This window comes from Homo sapiens, chromosome 9, assembly GCF_000001405.40.
Source record: "Homo sapiens chromosome 9, GRCh38.p14 Primary Assembly".
Taxonomy (NCBI): domain Eukaryota; kingdom Metazoa; phylum Chordata; class Mammalia; order Primates; family Hominidae; genus Homo; species Homo sapiens.
Window position 1 is genome coordinate 61,427,972 of NC_000009.12, and position 15,159 is coordinate 61,443,130.

Sequence of the window (15,159 nt, forward strand, 5' to 3'; positions counted from 1 at the left end):
ATTTATTTCTATTTCCACTTCTAGCCTGGGGATAGGTTGTAGGTTCTCCCAGAGTTGCTGCTCAACTGCAGAATAAAGCCATGAGCACAGATGGCCTCGGGCCCTTCTTGACAGCTGTATTCTCCTGGTTTTCCATGCACCTTTGCATGCTACTCTTCTTGCCACTCCTTAAAGGCTAGCATTATCCACAGATTGGTTCTAGGTCTTTTATCCTGCTCCCAAGCTCTCTCTGAGCCTTTTATCCACTTCCATGAGTTTTCAGTAGCATTTACACACTGTGGCTGATAACTTCCAAATACGTATCCGCAACCTACTCTGAGGAGTTCCAACCTCTGGTACCAACCTCTCTTCACTGGCCCTGTGAGCACTTAAAACTCAGTTGTCTATCTGCTCATTTTCCTTTGTTTTCCATCTTATAAAACGATACCAACAGCCACCTATTGACTGAAACCTGATTCTATCTCCTAAATGTTTTGAATTTCTTTCTCTCCCTCCAGTTTAGCCTAAATGAGCACCAGCCTCCTAAATCAGCTATTTGTCTCTGGTCTTGATCTTTCCAGTTTTTAGTCCACACAATAATCAGGATGATTCCTGGAAAAACATGCACATTCGATTGTTCAAACTCGATTGTTGAGACATGCTTAAAGCTACGCCCAAGACACTAGGATTGTTTCCCAGAGGCCTTAGACAGAAAAATAAATTCCCTATGCTCTACTGCCTGTCCAGGCCTTCGAGGGCATCTCTCAAGAACAAAGGGGAACTCCCAGAATCTTAGGCCAGAACCCTATGGGTCCTTGACGCATCTATCTCTCTTGCCCTCCATGTCCAGTGAGTCACGAAATTCTGTATTCTTCCCTCCAAATTACACCTTGCATGATTTCAGCTCTCTTTAGCTCTACTACCGACTTAATCTAAACTTGGTGTCCCACAAATTATGGAAATTGCCTTCCAAGTTTAGGTCATTCTGTCTCTGTTCATAGCTGACTACATTATATTCTCCACACTGCAACTCAAGTTACCTTTTAAAAATGCAGAACTGATACAATTACGTCCCTGTTTAATACCATCAGTGGCTTTCCATTGTTCCTAAAATAACATCCAGACTCCCAGCAAGGCCTGAAGGAGCTTGTCCCTGAATAACTCTCCAGTGCCACCTCTTGCTGCCGTCACCTGCTACCTGTCCACTGTCAATTGTGTCCGGCTTTTTACTGACTCAAAGCCTTTACGCCTGCGGTCTCCCCTGCTTGAAATGCTCCTTCCCCATGTTCTCAACTGGCTATTTACTCTTCCTCTTTTCGATCTCAGTTTAAATGATGCTTCCTAGGCCCTCACTCTACATTTGTTTCCTCATTATAAGTTCCCAGGAAGCCTATAGTATGACTTCATGTGCTATAGTCACTTTTTATAGTGTATCTGTATCTGTCTTATTAGAGGCCTAGTTTCCTTTTTCCTCATTAGACTTCAGGCTACACTAGGGTAAGGTACATTCATTGCTGTAACATCAGCACCTAATACAGAGCCAGGAACATACTAAGTGCACCATAGCTTTGCATTGAGTGAATGAATGAATGAAGCAATTCAGAAAAAAAGTCTGACAGATGATAATAAAATCTGAATAATGAATCTAAATTTCAGATTATTTCTCTCTTATACTAGCCATCCAGGTAAGGCAGGTATCTTGGAGATTATATTGTTATAAAGTATAGTATTAAAAATTGTAATAACTCTAGTAAAAATAGCAAATATAAGATTTTACAGTTATGTTTCCATTCTTCCATCTGATACTTGATGCATCTTTATGTAGTAGAAAGGCAGTTATTAACACCCAGATGTTCCAAGTACGCAATCTGAGAAGCCACACCAAGGGCCGGCAGTGCAGGAGCTACAAATAGTCACCAGAGACAGGGAGAGGACTCCAGTCCTCTGACTACCAATTCCATGTTCTTGATGGATAATAACTGCCGAGGTTTCATAAAGGATCATTATATTGATACTTGTTTTGATATATTGCTATATTGATTGATGGCGGCAGCTTCTTTTCTACTTTCAGAGAGACAGCATCAAGCTGCATTGTATTGTATATAAACATTTAGTTTTTGATTCTGTGCCTTCCTCCTTTTTATCATGCCAGCTTTAATTATCCTCAATTTCAGAGTTCTTTAAATCACTCCACTTTCTTTGATATTAATGCAAAAAATAGAACAGTCCTCTTCTTGTTGTTTTCTCAAGTGGTTAGTATCCTTTCCATCTCTTTAATTCCCAGTCCGCTAGTGCAGATTTTAAGGGCTTACATTCCACTCCATGCTAGTGTTTTAGTATTTTCATTAGATAACACTCAAACATGGCTTTTGTCTGATTCATGTTTCTGTTAAACTGAGATTGGGCTTCTATTCCTTTGTAAGTCATGGGCAATAATTCATGAAGGAAAAAGAAAATGGTTAGTATTCAAGGTTGACTTCATAAATAACCAAGAAGAGCTTGGTTCGCCACTTTTTTGGTCCCTTAATGGTGGAAAATTTGGTGGGGGAGGGGGTCTGGGAGTGGTGGATTCTTCTTTAAAATTTTAATACTTGGAGCACAGCCCAGATAATTAACAGAATTCTAAAATGTTCTTTTCACGAAGATTTCTTTTATAATGTCCCAAGTGAAAATCATTTTTTATTACTCACAGGTAATTCTTTATTCATGCATTTTCTGTTACATTTTCTTATAACTTAGTCTTCAAATAGTTTTATATGTCATTCAGACTCTGTCTTACATAGCTATGCTATTACCAATCAGTCCTTTTCTTATTCATCATTCTAGCTTCACTTATAATTGGTTGAACCATATATTTGCCAGTTTTGTAGATCAAATACAGTTGAATATTAGCAGCTTCATCTGGATTAACTGAGTGCTGTACTGTTTTCCGTAGGAACAACAGACGGCAAGTGGAGGTTTCCGGTAAAACAAAACAAATAGAACAAATAGTGACTGGACAAAAGCAAATTTTATTTTCTCCCTTCCAAAATTTTACCTGTCCTTGATTAGAATTTGAGACATGGGAAATTTTCATAACTCCTGAGATGGTCCAAGTTTGTATTTCTTCATTGGTGTTCTAATGAAGTTAGAACTACCTACCTCTGTAAAGTTCCTTTAATTGTTTTATCACTTTTATATATACACGCTGTGCTAGTTTGCATCACTGGCACCAATTCTGCACCTGTTCCTTGCCAGTGCCTGTGAGTGGTGTATGCTTCCCTGCCCCCTGATTTTTGAGCCAGCCAGTGACTTCCTTTGGCTAATGGTAGGCAGAGTCAACTCTACAGTGTACCTACTGTCCTCCTTTGTGTCTACCATTAATAAGCATGCCTGAAATATGAATTCCAGTAAAATGAAAAGAGATACATGCTTTACATATTTTGAAGCTGTTTCATTAAATGCATATAGATTGGGAATTGTTTTATCTTCCTTAAAGTTGATTTTTTGTAATTATGAAATATCCTTGTTTATTTCTAATAATGCCTCCTGCCTGTAAGTCTGCATTCTCTGATGATAGTACTGTATAGCTATGCCAGATTTCTTCTGGTTAGTGTTTTCATGGAATAACTTTTTCCATTCTTTACTTTCAAACTTTTTGTCTTCATATGTAAGGACTCTTTCTTTATTATTTAAACCAAATCTGGAAATCATTGAGTTTTAGTTGGTATATTTAGTCCACTTATATTAAATGTAATTACTGACATATGTGAAATTGTAGCTGACATGTTACTCTCTGTTTTATATTTGGTTCACTTGTTTTATACTCCTTTTTCTCTCCTCTTCTTTTGGGTTAATCAAGTTTAATTTTTCCAGTTTTTCCACTATTGTTTGCTGTTCTAATTTTGTTCTCCTAGGTACTTGAGCTACTACTTTTATCACTTTCCAAACAATACTAGGATTTAAGTACAACTTATGTTAGTTTAGTTAAACTCCTCCCACCATGTGTGCTATGTTGACACATTTTAGTTTCATACATACATGTGTATATGTGTACATATATTTTAATCACAAAATTTAATATAATTTTTTTTGCAATCAGTATTCACTTGAATTTACTCACATATTTACTTTCTCTGCATTTTCATGCTCTTTCTGAATCAAATTCTTTCAGCTAGAAAGACTCCTTTTAATATTTGTCTTAGCCCAGTTCTACTGGTAATAAATTGTCATATAGCTTTTGTTTGCCTGAAAATTGTCTTTATTTTATATGAACTTCTGAAGGCTGTTTCAGCTTGCTGGAGAATACGGTCTGTAGTTATTTTCTTTCGGCCTTTTAAAGATGGCATTCTATTGTTTTCATGATGTTTATTAAGAAATCAATAGGTAATTGATTTTTATCCTATAAGGGAAATGTGTATTTTTCTTCTGGTTACTTTTGAGAATTTATTATTTGTCTTTGATTTTCAGCAGTTTTGCCTTGATGTGGCTATTTTAGTTTTCATTGAATTTGTCCTCTTTGGATTTCACTAAATTTCTTTTTTCTATGCAGTGATTATTAGATTGGGTAATTCTTCACTGTTACTTCTTCAAAATATTGCTTCTGTCTCGCATTTCCTTTCCTCCTTTCTGAGACTCCAATTACATCTGTCTGAGATGTTTGTATCTTATTTTCTTTCTTTGTCTCTCTCTTTCTCCCTCCTCCTGCTTCTCTCTCTCCCTCTCCTCTTTCATCTTTTCTTTCTATTTATGCTGCAGTCTAGACATTGTGTACTGCTTTATCTTCTATACTACTAATCAGATCTTCTGCTGTGACCAATCTGTTGTTGAATATGCCAGTGAGCTATTAATTTTAGTTACTGTGATTTTCAGTTTGGGAATTTCTGTTCATGTATCCTAGTGAAACTCCTTATCTTGCTGCCTATTTTCCTGGAAATATTAATTACAGTTATTTTAAAGATTTTTCGTTAACTTCAATATCTGGATTATCTCTTGATCTTTTCCATTGTCTGGTTTTTGTTTCCGTTTTGATGTCTGATAATTTTGGCTGAATTCTGGACATGTTGGACAGAAATTTGTAGAGGCTAGAGAAGACAAAGTGATCCCCCAGCGAATCCCCACCACAGCCTCTGTTAGGCTTCTAGATTAGGCACAGATGTTAATTCAAATAAGCATTTAACTGACTCAGTGCAGCGTCTCAGTCCCCATGAGGCCTAGTTGATATCTTATATCTGGAGTACAATGCTTCACTAGTCCCAACTGAGATTTGAAGGCCTTTGCCAAAACATTTTTTTGAAAATCTCTGAATTCTGCCATCTGACTCCTAATTATGATGAGTCTACAGAGACCCCTGCTTCGTGACCCAGCCTCATAGCTGTCCTGTCACTTTCTGCTTGGCCACCTTGTCTCTTGCCCATTGCTCCTTGGGAGTTGACCAGTGCTTCAAGGGTAGAAGCAGAAAGAGTGTTCTGAGCTTGTCTTCTAAGATCTTTACATTCTTGAGTCCTGGCAGTCGTAGTAGATCTTTAAAACTTTCAAGAAGATTATTTAAACTTTACTTGGTACACATTTTCTACTTGTCCTTGGTAGGAAGTGTAGTCTTCTGAATGTTTGCTTGTCATAACTGAAAATATAACTAACTGCATTTCTTTTAATGCCATGGGAAATGTGTTGAAGAAAACAAAGTGTATATAATTTTTTCATATAATAATGTGTTTATAATACAATCTACTTAATATTTTGGAAAATTATTTTTCTGTAAAACACTGAAGTGCTAATTAAATTTCAACAAATTTTTTTAAAAATAAATAAAGCTGGTCACAGTGGCTCATGCCTGTAATCCCAGGACTTTAGGAGGCCAAGGCAGGCAGATTACTTGATTGCCCAGCCTGGGCAACACAGCAAAACTCCATCTCTACAAAAAATACAAAAATTATCTGGACATGGTGGTGTGTGCCTGTGGTCCCAGCTACTCAGTGGGCTGAGGTGTGAGGATTGCTTGATCCCAGTGAGGTCAAGGCTGCAGTGAGCCAAGATCATGCCACTGCACTCCAGCCTGCGTGGCAGAGTGAGACCCTGTCTCAAAAAAAAAAAAAATTTGTCATAAAAAAGTAAAATAAATAGAAACTCAAAATAAGATGAAAAAGTAAATCCCTGTCCATCAGAAATAAGTAAGTTGAAGAATTGGAATGTGAACCTACTCACAGAGGATTCCAGACTCTGTGCAATCAACTATCTTTACCAGGAAATGGGAGAAGGAGAAAAGAGAGAGGAAAGAAAAGAAATAGAGAGGAAAGATCATGCATGAAAATTAAAGAGAGAGATCAAGGCCTTTACTGAGAATGCAGAACCAAGGCCTGTTTTCCCTAAGTTCCTCTTATTATGCCCAGAAGGAAAGAAAATATGTGAGTGAATAAAGGCAAATATTTCCTAGGAAAGCTTTGTGTATTCATCGATTGCAGGATTCAATATTCTTATCATCCTCCCCGAATTGATCTACAGAATCCCAATACATCTATTCTAACTTATTATTATATTAAAATGAATCATCACTAGTCTTTAGAGAAATAAAATCACAATGAGAAACCACTATACACCTAGCAGAAAGGCTAAAATTAAAAAGGGTGGAAACACCAAGTGTTTGGCAAAGATATGGAATTCTCATACATTGCTGGTGGGAAATGTGAAAATGATACTATCACTTTGGAAAACAATTTGGCATTCTTCTAAGCTAAATATACACTTAATATATAGCTCAGCAATTCCACTCCCATGTATTTACCCAGCAGAAATGAATGCATATGTCAACATAAAGATGTATGTGTGAATGTGCCTAGCAGCTTTATTTATAATAGTTTAAACCTGGAAACAGTTCAAATGTCTATCAGCAGGTAAATGGATAAACAAGTTGTCAAACAGTTGAATACCCCAAGCAATAAGAAAGAACAGACTGTTGATATATGCAACAGCATGCGTGTATCTCAAAAACGTTACACTTAAGAAGGAACGCAGACACAAAAGAACACATACACGATACAATTTTATGAAATTTTGGAACTGACAAAACTAATCTGTAGTTATGGAATGTAGATCATTGGTTTCCTGGGTCTGGGTCTGGGTGACAGTGTTGGGGGTTTGATGCAAATGGCAATTAGTGAGTTGATATGAAATTGCCTACACCTTGATTTTTTGGCAATAAGGTAGGTATATATATTTATTAAAACTCATTGAACTATAACCTTAAATTTATTGAATATAAATTATAACTCTATGAAAATGATATTCATGTTTCCATATTGGAATTGTGGGTTTTGTTGTTGTTTTTTTGAGAGAGAGTCTCTCTCTGTTGCCCAGGCTGGAGTGCAGTGGAGCAATCCTGGCTCACTGCAACCTCTGCCTCCTGGGTTCAAGCTATTCTCCCACCTCAGCCTCCTGAGTAGCTGAGATCACAGGCATGCACCACTACACCCAGCTGATTTTTTGGTATTTTTAGTAGAAATTTTACCATGTTGCCCAGGCTGGTCTTGAACTCCTGACCTCAAATGATCCACCTGCCTTTGCCTCCTAAAGTGCTAGGATTACAGTGTGAGCCACTGTGCCTCACCCCATATTGGAATTAACATTCAATTTATTTAGAGAGTAAACCTCTGTAATCTGCCCATTATCCCTGATAAATCATCCTGAAGCCTTCGTGTCATCACAGCTACCTAGTTAGCTTATTAAATATGCAAACCCCTGGGTCTCAACCACAGAAATCCTGATTCCTGGTCTGGTTGAGGCTCACGTTCTAAAGTCTCCAAGTGATCACTCCTAGTCAATCTGAGTGAAGGTGGTTGATAGAACACTTTAAGAAAATTTCTGTGGAATCGTGTTTTTTTTTTTCTTCTGTAAGACATCAGTGTTTGCACCCTATGGAATCTTGCTGTTTTCAAGCAATGTTGATGTTTCCTCTGAAAAGGCAGTACAAGGTAGGATGGGGATGAGACATGCCTGTGCTTAGAATGACAGTGAGAAGCAGAAAAGTAGTAATGAGAAGCCAGAGTTAAGAGTACATTCTGGGTGTGAAAAATGTGAAAGTAGGCCAGGCGGGGTGGCTTATGCCTGTAATCTCAGCACTTTGTGAAGCTGAGGCGGGCAGATTGCTTGAGCCCAGGAATTCAAGACCAGCCTTGGCATCATAGTGAGACCCCCCATCTCTAGAAAAAAAGTAAAAAATTAGCCAGGCATTGTAGTGCATGCCTATAATCCCAGCTACTTGGGAGGCTGAGGCTGGAGGATCACTCTAGCCCAGGAGTTCAAGGCTGCAGTGAGCTGTGAAGATACCACTGCACTACAGCATGGGCAACGGAGTGAGTCTCTGTTTCTAATAAAAGTAAAATGTGAAGGTAAAATATGGCTTAAGGAAATAAAGGAAATAGCAACTCAAAATTACTTATGTCTTAGCTTTTCAGAGACGTCATACTTTGCAGGAGTCTAAAGCAGGTAGACTCCTTCCTTATCCTTTCTTAGAAGTCATTCTGGACCAGATGCCTGTTTACAGAAGCATCACTGTGAATGTGGCAGAAACAATCGTATTTCAGGATTATATGACCTTTTTTCCATACTGTGGGATCCTTAAAAGTAATTCATTGTCTTCTGCATTTTTATCTTTCACCTAGCATATGGAAGGCTTTCAGTGAATATTAGCTGTATGAATGAGGACATAACACATTTTAGCAAAATTACTTCTGACACAGTTCTTCCTTGTATGACAAAGTTCTTTATCTACAAGAATTCGTATTTGGGAACTTTGTGAACACATCTGTCCTTAGCTTTTCCGATATTCTTTGAGGAAGTGTGACAAAAACATTATAATTGCACCAATAATCTTCAAGTATCATTTAAAAACTCTAGTGGTCCTCTAACACAAGAAAATGAGATAGATATATTAATACTTCTGAGTAAGATTTAGGTTACCAGTGATTGAAGTGAGTCAGCCCAGGAACAAGCTGGCTGGCAGAGAAGGAGCTGTGTAAGTGTGGATGAATGGTTGTAAATCTCTTTTTCCTGGTGGAAACTGAAGATTTCCTAGGTCCTTCAAAAATTAAATCCGCTATCATTTTAAGCTGTCTACTTTCCTATATATCCCCTATGTGCTATTTTAAACTCATTTCCACCTCTTTTTCTGCCCAGTGCCCTGACAATAATAATGAAGCCGTCGTTCACTGAAGGTACCCCATGTGCCCAGCACTGTTGTAAAAGTACAAATACTAACTCATTTAACCCTCGCAACGACCTTGTGAGAGAGGAGTGTATGTATTCTCACTTCACTTATGAGTAGACTGAGGCAGAGAGAGGCTATGTAACTTATCCAGGATGGAGCCAGGATTCAAGCCCACGCAGTATATACTCTAGTGTACTAGAAAATGTAGCTCCTGATCTAATGGTGACAGACTAACGTGTCAGGGGTCCACATTGCTAATACTGATTGAGATTCAGCAATCAAAACTATAATCTTAATTAATAAAGCTAATAATTATAAACTAAATTCATATAAAATTAGAAAAGCACTTCCTGCTTTAAACCACAAGCTAAGTTTTCTTTATTCATTTTGGATAGCAAGGCTTTCATTCTGAAAACTTTGAGGAACGTTGGATTTTATCGTAAACATAATAAGTGACATTAATTTTCCAGTATCCCACTACATTTCCTATTTATATAATTGAATTTCATACAAAGGATTTTTTCCAACAGGTTTCTGAGAAAAGATTATATTAAATGTGTTACTGGAATTATTTTATTTTAGTGTATTATTCAAATATATATTGTAGGGGAATATTTGCATTGATTATGGCTAGGTAGAACTGTTTTTTTCTTGAAATGGGGTCTTGCTGTGTTGCCCAGGCTGGGGTGCAGTGACACAAGCACTGCTCACTGCAGCCTCCATCTCCCAAGCTCAAGCGATCCTCCCACCTCCCCCTTCCAAGTAGCTGGGAATATAAGCAAGTGCGACCAGTCTTGCCATGCTGCCCAGCCTGGTCTCGAACTCTTGGGCCCAAGTGATCTGCCCGCATCAGCCTCCCTAAGGGCTGGGATTACAAGCATGAGCCACTGCACCTGACCAGCTGGGAGAACTTTTCTTTGCTCTTGCAAGTGTTTTAAAATGCTAAAAGTATGACTTTTGTGGACAAGTGGGAAGAGAGTTTACCTTTTAGCATTACTTCTAAGGACCAAGACTTGAAATTTTGCTTCTCCAGTGGGAGGATCTTATTCAAGAGGGACTACATGGGCGTTGTCCCTCTCCAGTGCTGATCTTGGTGGGCTCGTTACTGTTGACTTATTGAACTCAATGCTTTCCATCCCAAACATCATTTTTTGTTTCATATTTTTATGTATTGACTTCATAAATCATAGAATGTTTAATGATTTTTAGAAAGTTTGGATTTGCAATTCATTAATCTGCTTTTATTTTAAAATATGCATAATGAGCTATAAGTATATTCTTAAATTTCTAGATACAAGCACTAGCGATTACAGTAAAGAAAAAATCAAGGTATTAGCTAAAGAACAAAAGAGTTTCAAGGTCATTGCTTTATGTCTCTTTTACTTGATAAGTGTTTTACTATTCTATTTGCCTGAGGGAAACATTCCAGGAACTGTACTTCACATGCCTTAGAAGATCAATACTGCTGTTGGAGAGTAATAGTAAACATAGAATGAGAAAAAGAAATGTATAGGTTGCAATAATCCAGAAAAAACCTTTTCGGGAAGAAAACTTTTTTTGTTAGTCAACTAAAAAAAAAAAATAGCTCAAATATTAGCATTTTCTTTAAGCAACAAATAAAGACATGATTATAAGTATTAGGGCAGTGCTAAAAATGTGAAAGTCTGTAGTCAATCTTTTTCAGGTTTCCCTTAGTTCATGGCCAGGTAATAATAATCTTAGATGTCTTCATTTACATTTGACAGAGAGTTTTGTTTTTATCATGAACATATAATAAGTTATGTAACAAGGAATAATTGTTTAATTTACACATATTTTACTCAGAATGTGTTTATTCATCATGCACTTGATACATTAATTCCTTGTAAGTACATTAACCCAATGTGAGAAAATCAAACTTCTAAATTTTAAAATGATACATAAAATGGAGAACTTTTGAAGTGCAGTTTATTATATGTATTTCAGATAATGTGAATGAAATGGATAGCCATGCAAAAAGTACTAGTAATATTTTTGTGAAATTAAATATAATTAAACAATGCCATCTTATTGGCTTGAATGACATCAGCTAGTCAGCTTCAAATAGTTTCATATTTCACTAGGTTTTCATGCATCTTCATTTATTAAATAAATATATTTTTCAAAGGACAATTGCTTATTTTTCTTTTTACTTTTAAAAAGAAGAGATTTTCTGGGTAATATTAATTTCTTCATGTGATTTTGACAAATATTATCAAATATTATTTTATATTACTGATAAAATGAAACAACTTGTTTTTTGATGAGCTGAACATATGTGACATTTATAGTGAATTTATAAGACCCTGACAGAGTGCTGAGAGAGTGTGGCAGCATTGGAGTTCTGACAAGCTACAGCAGGAAGAACCAAAACAGAGGTGTTAAGGCCATGCTCTCTCAACAAAGCATCCAAGAAAACAAAACCTCTGTGCCTTTGTCAGACAGGGCTCTCCAGAGAAACAGAACCAATAGGATGTCTGTGTGCCTGTGTGTGTGTGTGTGTGTGTGTGTGTGTGTGTGTGTGTGTGTAGAGAGAGAGAGAGTTTTAAGGAATTGGCTTACCTGATTGTAAGGACTGGCAAGTCCTAGGTAAGAGGTGATATTGCAGCTGGAGTCCAGAGGTTGTCTGGAGGCAAAATTCCTTCTTTCCTAGAGAACTTCAGTTTTCTTTCTTTCTCTTACAGCCTTCAACTGATTGGATGAGGCTCACCCACGTTATAGAGTTTAACCTGCTTTACTCAATGTTTACTGATTTAATATTGATTACCTCTAAAAAATACCTGCACTGCAACATCAAGACTAGTGTTTGACCAAAAGCTGTTTACCATGGCCTAGCCAAGTTGACACATTGCAGTGCCCATTAGCAGTACCATTAGCCAAGGGTTGAGAAAAATATTACATGTCAGCTCATTTAAAATACATTTATTACATGTCTAAAGCAGTATTTAATAAGTATGATATGTGTTTCTGTATCTTTACAGACAAAATCTTTAGTAAAGTAGGTACATGTGTAAGAATCAAGAGAAGCCAAAGCTACTGGGAATGAACAAAGGTATTTAAATTGAGTGACACTGATATTTAATATAAGAATGACCTTAAAATAAATAATTTATGTAGTGAAATACAGCTTCTTTCCTGATTGTTTTTAATCAAACAGAATGAGAAGAAATGGGCTGCTCTAAAGATAAGAGCCATTGGGAGTAGATTAATAAAAGCATTTCTAGATGATGAAGTTTGAGAAAATGTTAGAAAATTCTAACGGTGGATATTACATATATCAACTCATGATGCCACCAGAAAATATATTATTGTCAGTTGTTTCCTTCAATGAATGGCTTAGAAATACAATGTGTGTCTATGTGTGTGTGGTGTGGCATATTGATGCACACATTTTCAATGTGCTACTGTATGACATATTTATATTTAGAATTGCTTTCTAATATCTTCTTTCCTAGAATCTGAGGTGGTTTATTTTGATGGACAAAGTGCTCTGCTGTATAGACTTGATAAAAAACCTTTAAAACCAATAAGAGACGTTATTTCTTTGAAATTTAAAGCCATGCAGAGCAATGGAATTCTACTTCACAGAGAAGGACAACATGGAAATCACATTACTCTGGAATTAATTAAAGGAAAGCTTGTCTTTTTTCTTAATTCAGGTAAAAAAATACTTGAACTTTTATACCAGTAGTTAAAAAAAATCTGTTTACATTTGTTGGTACTCAGTCTTTTCACAGTTAGATAAAATGACCATATAATTCATCATCTAAACCAGAACACCTTTAAGAAATAAAAAATACACAAGTGATAGTTACTCTGGGACAGTAAGTGCAAAGTAGAACTGCAATGAACAAATGTAAATGAAAGTTTAAGAGCATTACTACCAGATGCATGCAATACATACATATCCTAAGTATGATTTCTGTAAACAGCATATATTTTGACAAACTGTGCAAGATCACCATATGTGTGTATAATATATATGTAATATATGATTATCCATATCATAAAGACAATACATCATTATAAAATTATGAGATAATGCTGATAATGAGGTTCTAAGAAAGAAAATATTTGCATTGTAAATCCAAATGTCATGAGTAATAGAAAAAATACTAAGAAAAATTTCAACAAAGTGTAGAATTGAACTTAAAAAAAATAAAAACAGGGTAAGGTTATTGTGTTCAAGATAGGGAGAAAGTGAGAAAACAACTCTGTAAGATGGAAAGTTGGATGCAAACTGTGATGCTCAACTAAAAAAGGGAAGCTGTGATTTTGAACAGAAATAACTGTTTTTTTCCTTCTCCTTTAAGGCAATGCTAAGCTGCCTTCCACTATTGCTCCTGTGACCCTCACCCTGGGCAGCCTGCTGGACGACCAGCACTGGCATTCCGTCCTCATCGAGCTCCTCGACACGCAGGTCAACTTCACCGTGGACAAACACACTCATCATTTCCAAGCAAAGGGAGATTCCAGTTACTTGGATCTTAATTTTGAGGTTATTATAGATATATAGTTTAAATTAAATATAACCTGAAAAATAAGGTAGCTGCATAGAGAAATGCCATTTTATAGTAATTCATAACTAAGTTGACTAATAGTAATAGGTATGGTATGTCTGTCCCGGTACTATGAAACTGTTTATGCCTTCTAATAGGTCAGTTTATTATAATAGATCATCTTTTCCACCTTGGAAAGAAGTAAACAGTCAGTGTTAGGTTTAGGAAATCCACAAATGCAGAAATACCAAAGTAGCAAGCATTGTTATTAAATGTACTCATTTGAATATATTTCATTTGAAATTTCATCTGGTATATTACACTTGTTGTTTGACTATGCAGATTCCTGGGGGATTTTTTTTCTTGTCTTGGTGCAATCCTAACCAACATAGCATTATTTAGGATCACTTTGAGAAGTTAACAAGATATACACCAATAGATTTATTAAATAACAAGAAAAGTCAGATGCTCACATATAAATAATATCCTGATATTTTTTAAGTCATTAATGCTTTTTGCAACCCATTGCCCATATGTATCTAAGCTACACTGTTAAATAGCATCTATTCTTTCAGTCCTTTACAGGACACCTTAAAGTGTATGAAGGATCATAACAAACCAGAAAAACTGTGATATTTACTGGCGTAAGTGGCTTTGGCATATAATATTAAACTGAAGATCCTAGTCCTATACCGGATTATTCAGTTTTATTACTTTAATTTAACCATGTAATAGCAAAAGATAATATCTAATGCAGAGGTTGGCAAACTATGGGCATCAGGCCAAGTTTGGACATTTTTTAATTAAAAAAATACAAAGCCTGTTTTTGTTCAAAAGAGAAGGTTTTATTGGAACATGTTCTCTTTCTTTATGTATTGTCCGTGGCCACATTGGTACTTCGTGTCAGAGTTGAGTGCTGCAAAAGAGATCATATGACCCACAAAGGGTAAATTTACTACATGGCTGAAAATTTCAATGTGGCAGAAAATGTGTGTTGACTTCTTCCTTTTAAGTTTGTTCAAAACTGTGTGGTGCCAGAAATAAAGGTATTAACAGCTGTCATTATGATAGAACACTTCATTTGGAATAAGCAAGCATGCAAATATAAGATAATGGGAATGGATTTGTGACAGTTAGTACTAGACCTATTAATTATAAATGCTTTAAACACGTACCATCAGAAAATCACTAAACAATGTTATTTATGTCATTTTTCTTTCTAAGATCAGCTTTGGGGGAATTCCGACACCCGGAAGATCGCGGGCATTCAGACGTAAAAGCTTTCATGGGTGTTTAGAAAATCTTTATTATAATGGAGTGGATGTTACCGAATTAGCCAAGAAACACAAACCACAGATCCTCATGATGGTAAGGAAGCCTAATGGGAAGGAAAGAAAAAAGGACATTTTATTTTTTGCATTTAAAAATTATTCATGTGAAGTCTCCATTTCATCTAATATTTTAAGAATCAGTTCTTACTTT

At 36.2% G+C, this 15,159-nt stretch overlaps 1 protein-coding gene across 6 annotated transcripts in view; it reads left to right on the plus strand.

The window, feature by feature from the left end:
- The window catches only part of CNTNAP3C (contactin associated protein family member 3C), a 131,026-nt gene that overhangs the window by 97,531 nt on the left and 18,336 nt on the right, over positions 1 to 15,159 (plus strand). For 5 of the 6 annotated variants that reach the window (XM_011545672.4, XM_017015380.2, XM_011545674.3 and 2 more), the window contains exons 5-7: positions 12,634 to 12,837; positions 13,492 to 13,676; positions 14,902 to 15,045. In XM_011545672.4, the coding sequence (XP_011543974.1) occupies positions 12,634 to 12,837; positions 13,492 to 13,676; positions 14,902 to 15,045 (533 nt within the window). Of the gene's footprint in view, positions 1 to 12,633; positions 12,838 to 13,491; positions 13,677 to 14,901; positions 15,046 to 15,159 lie in introns of those variants that run through there. The other variant, XM_047424299.1, reaches the window with a different exon arrangement.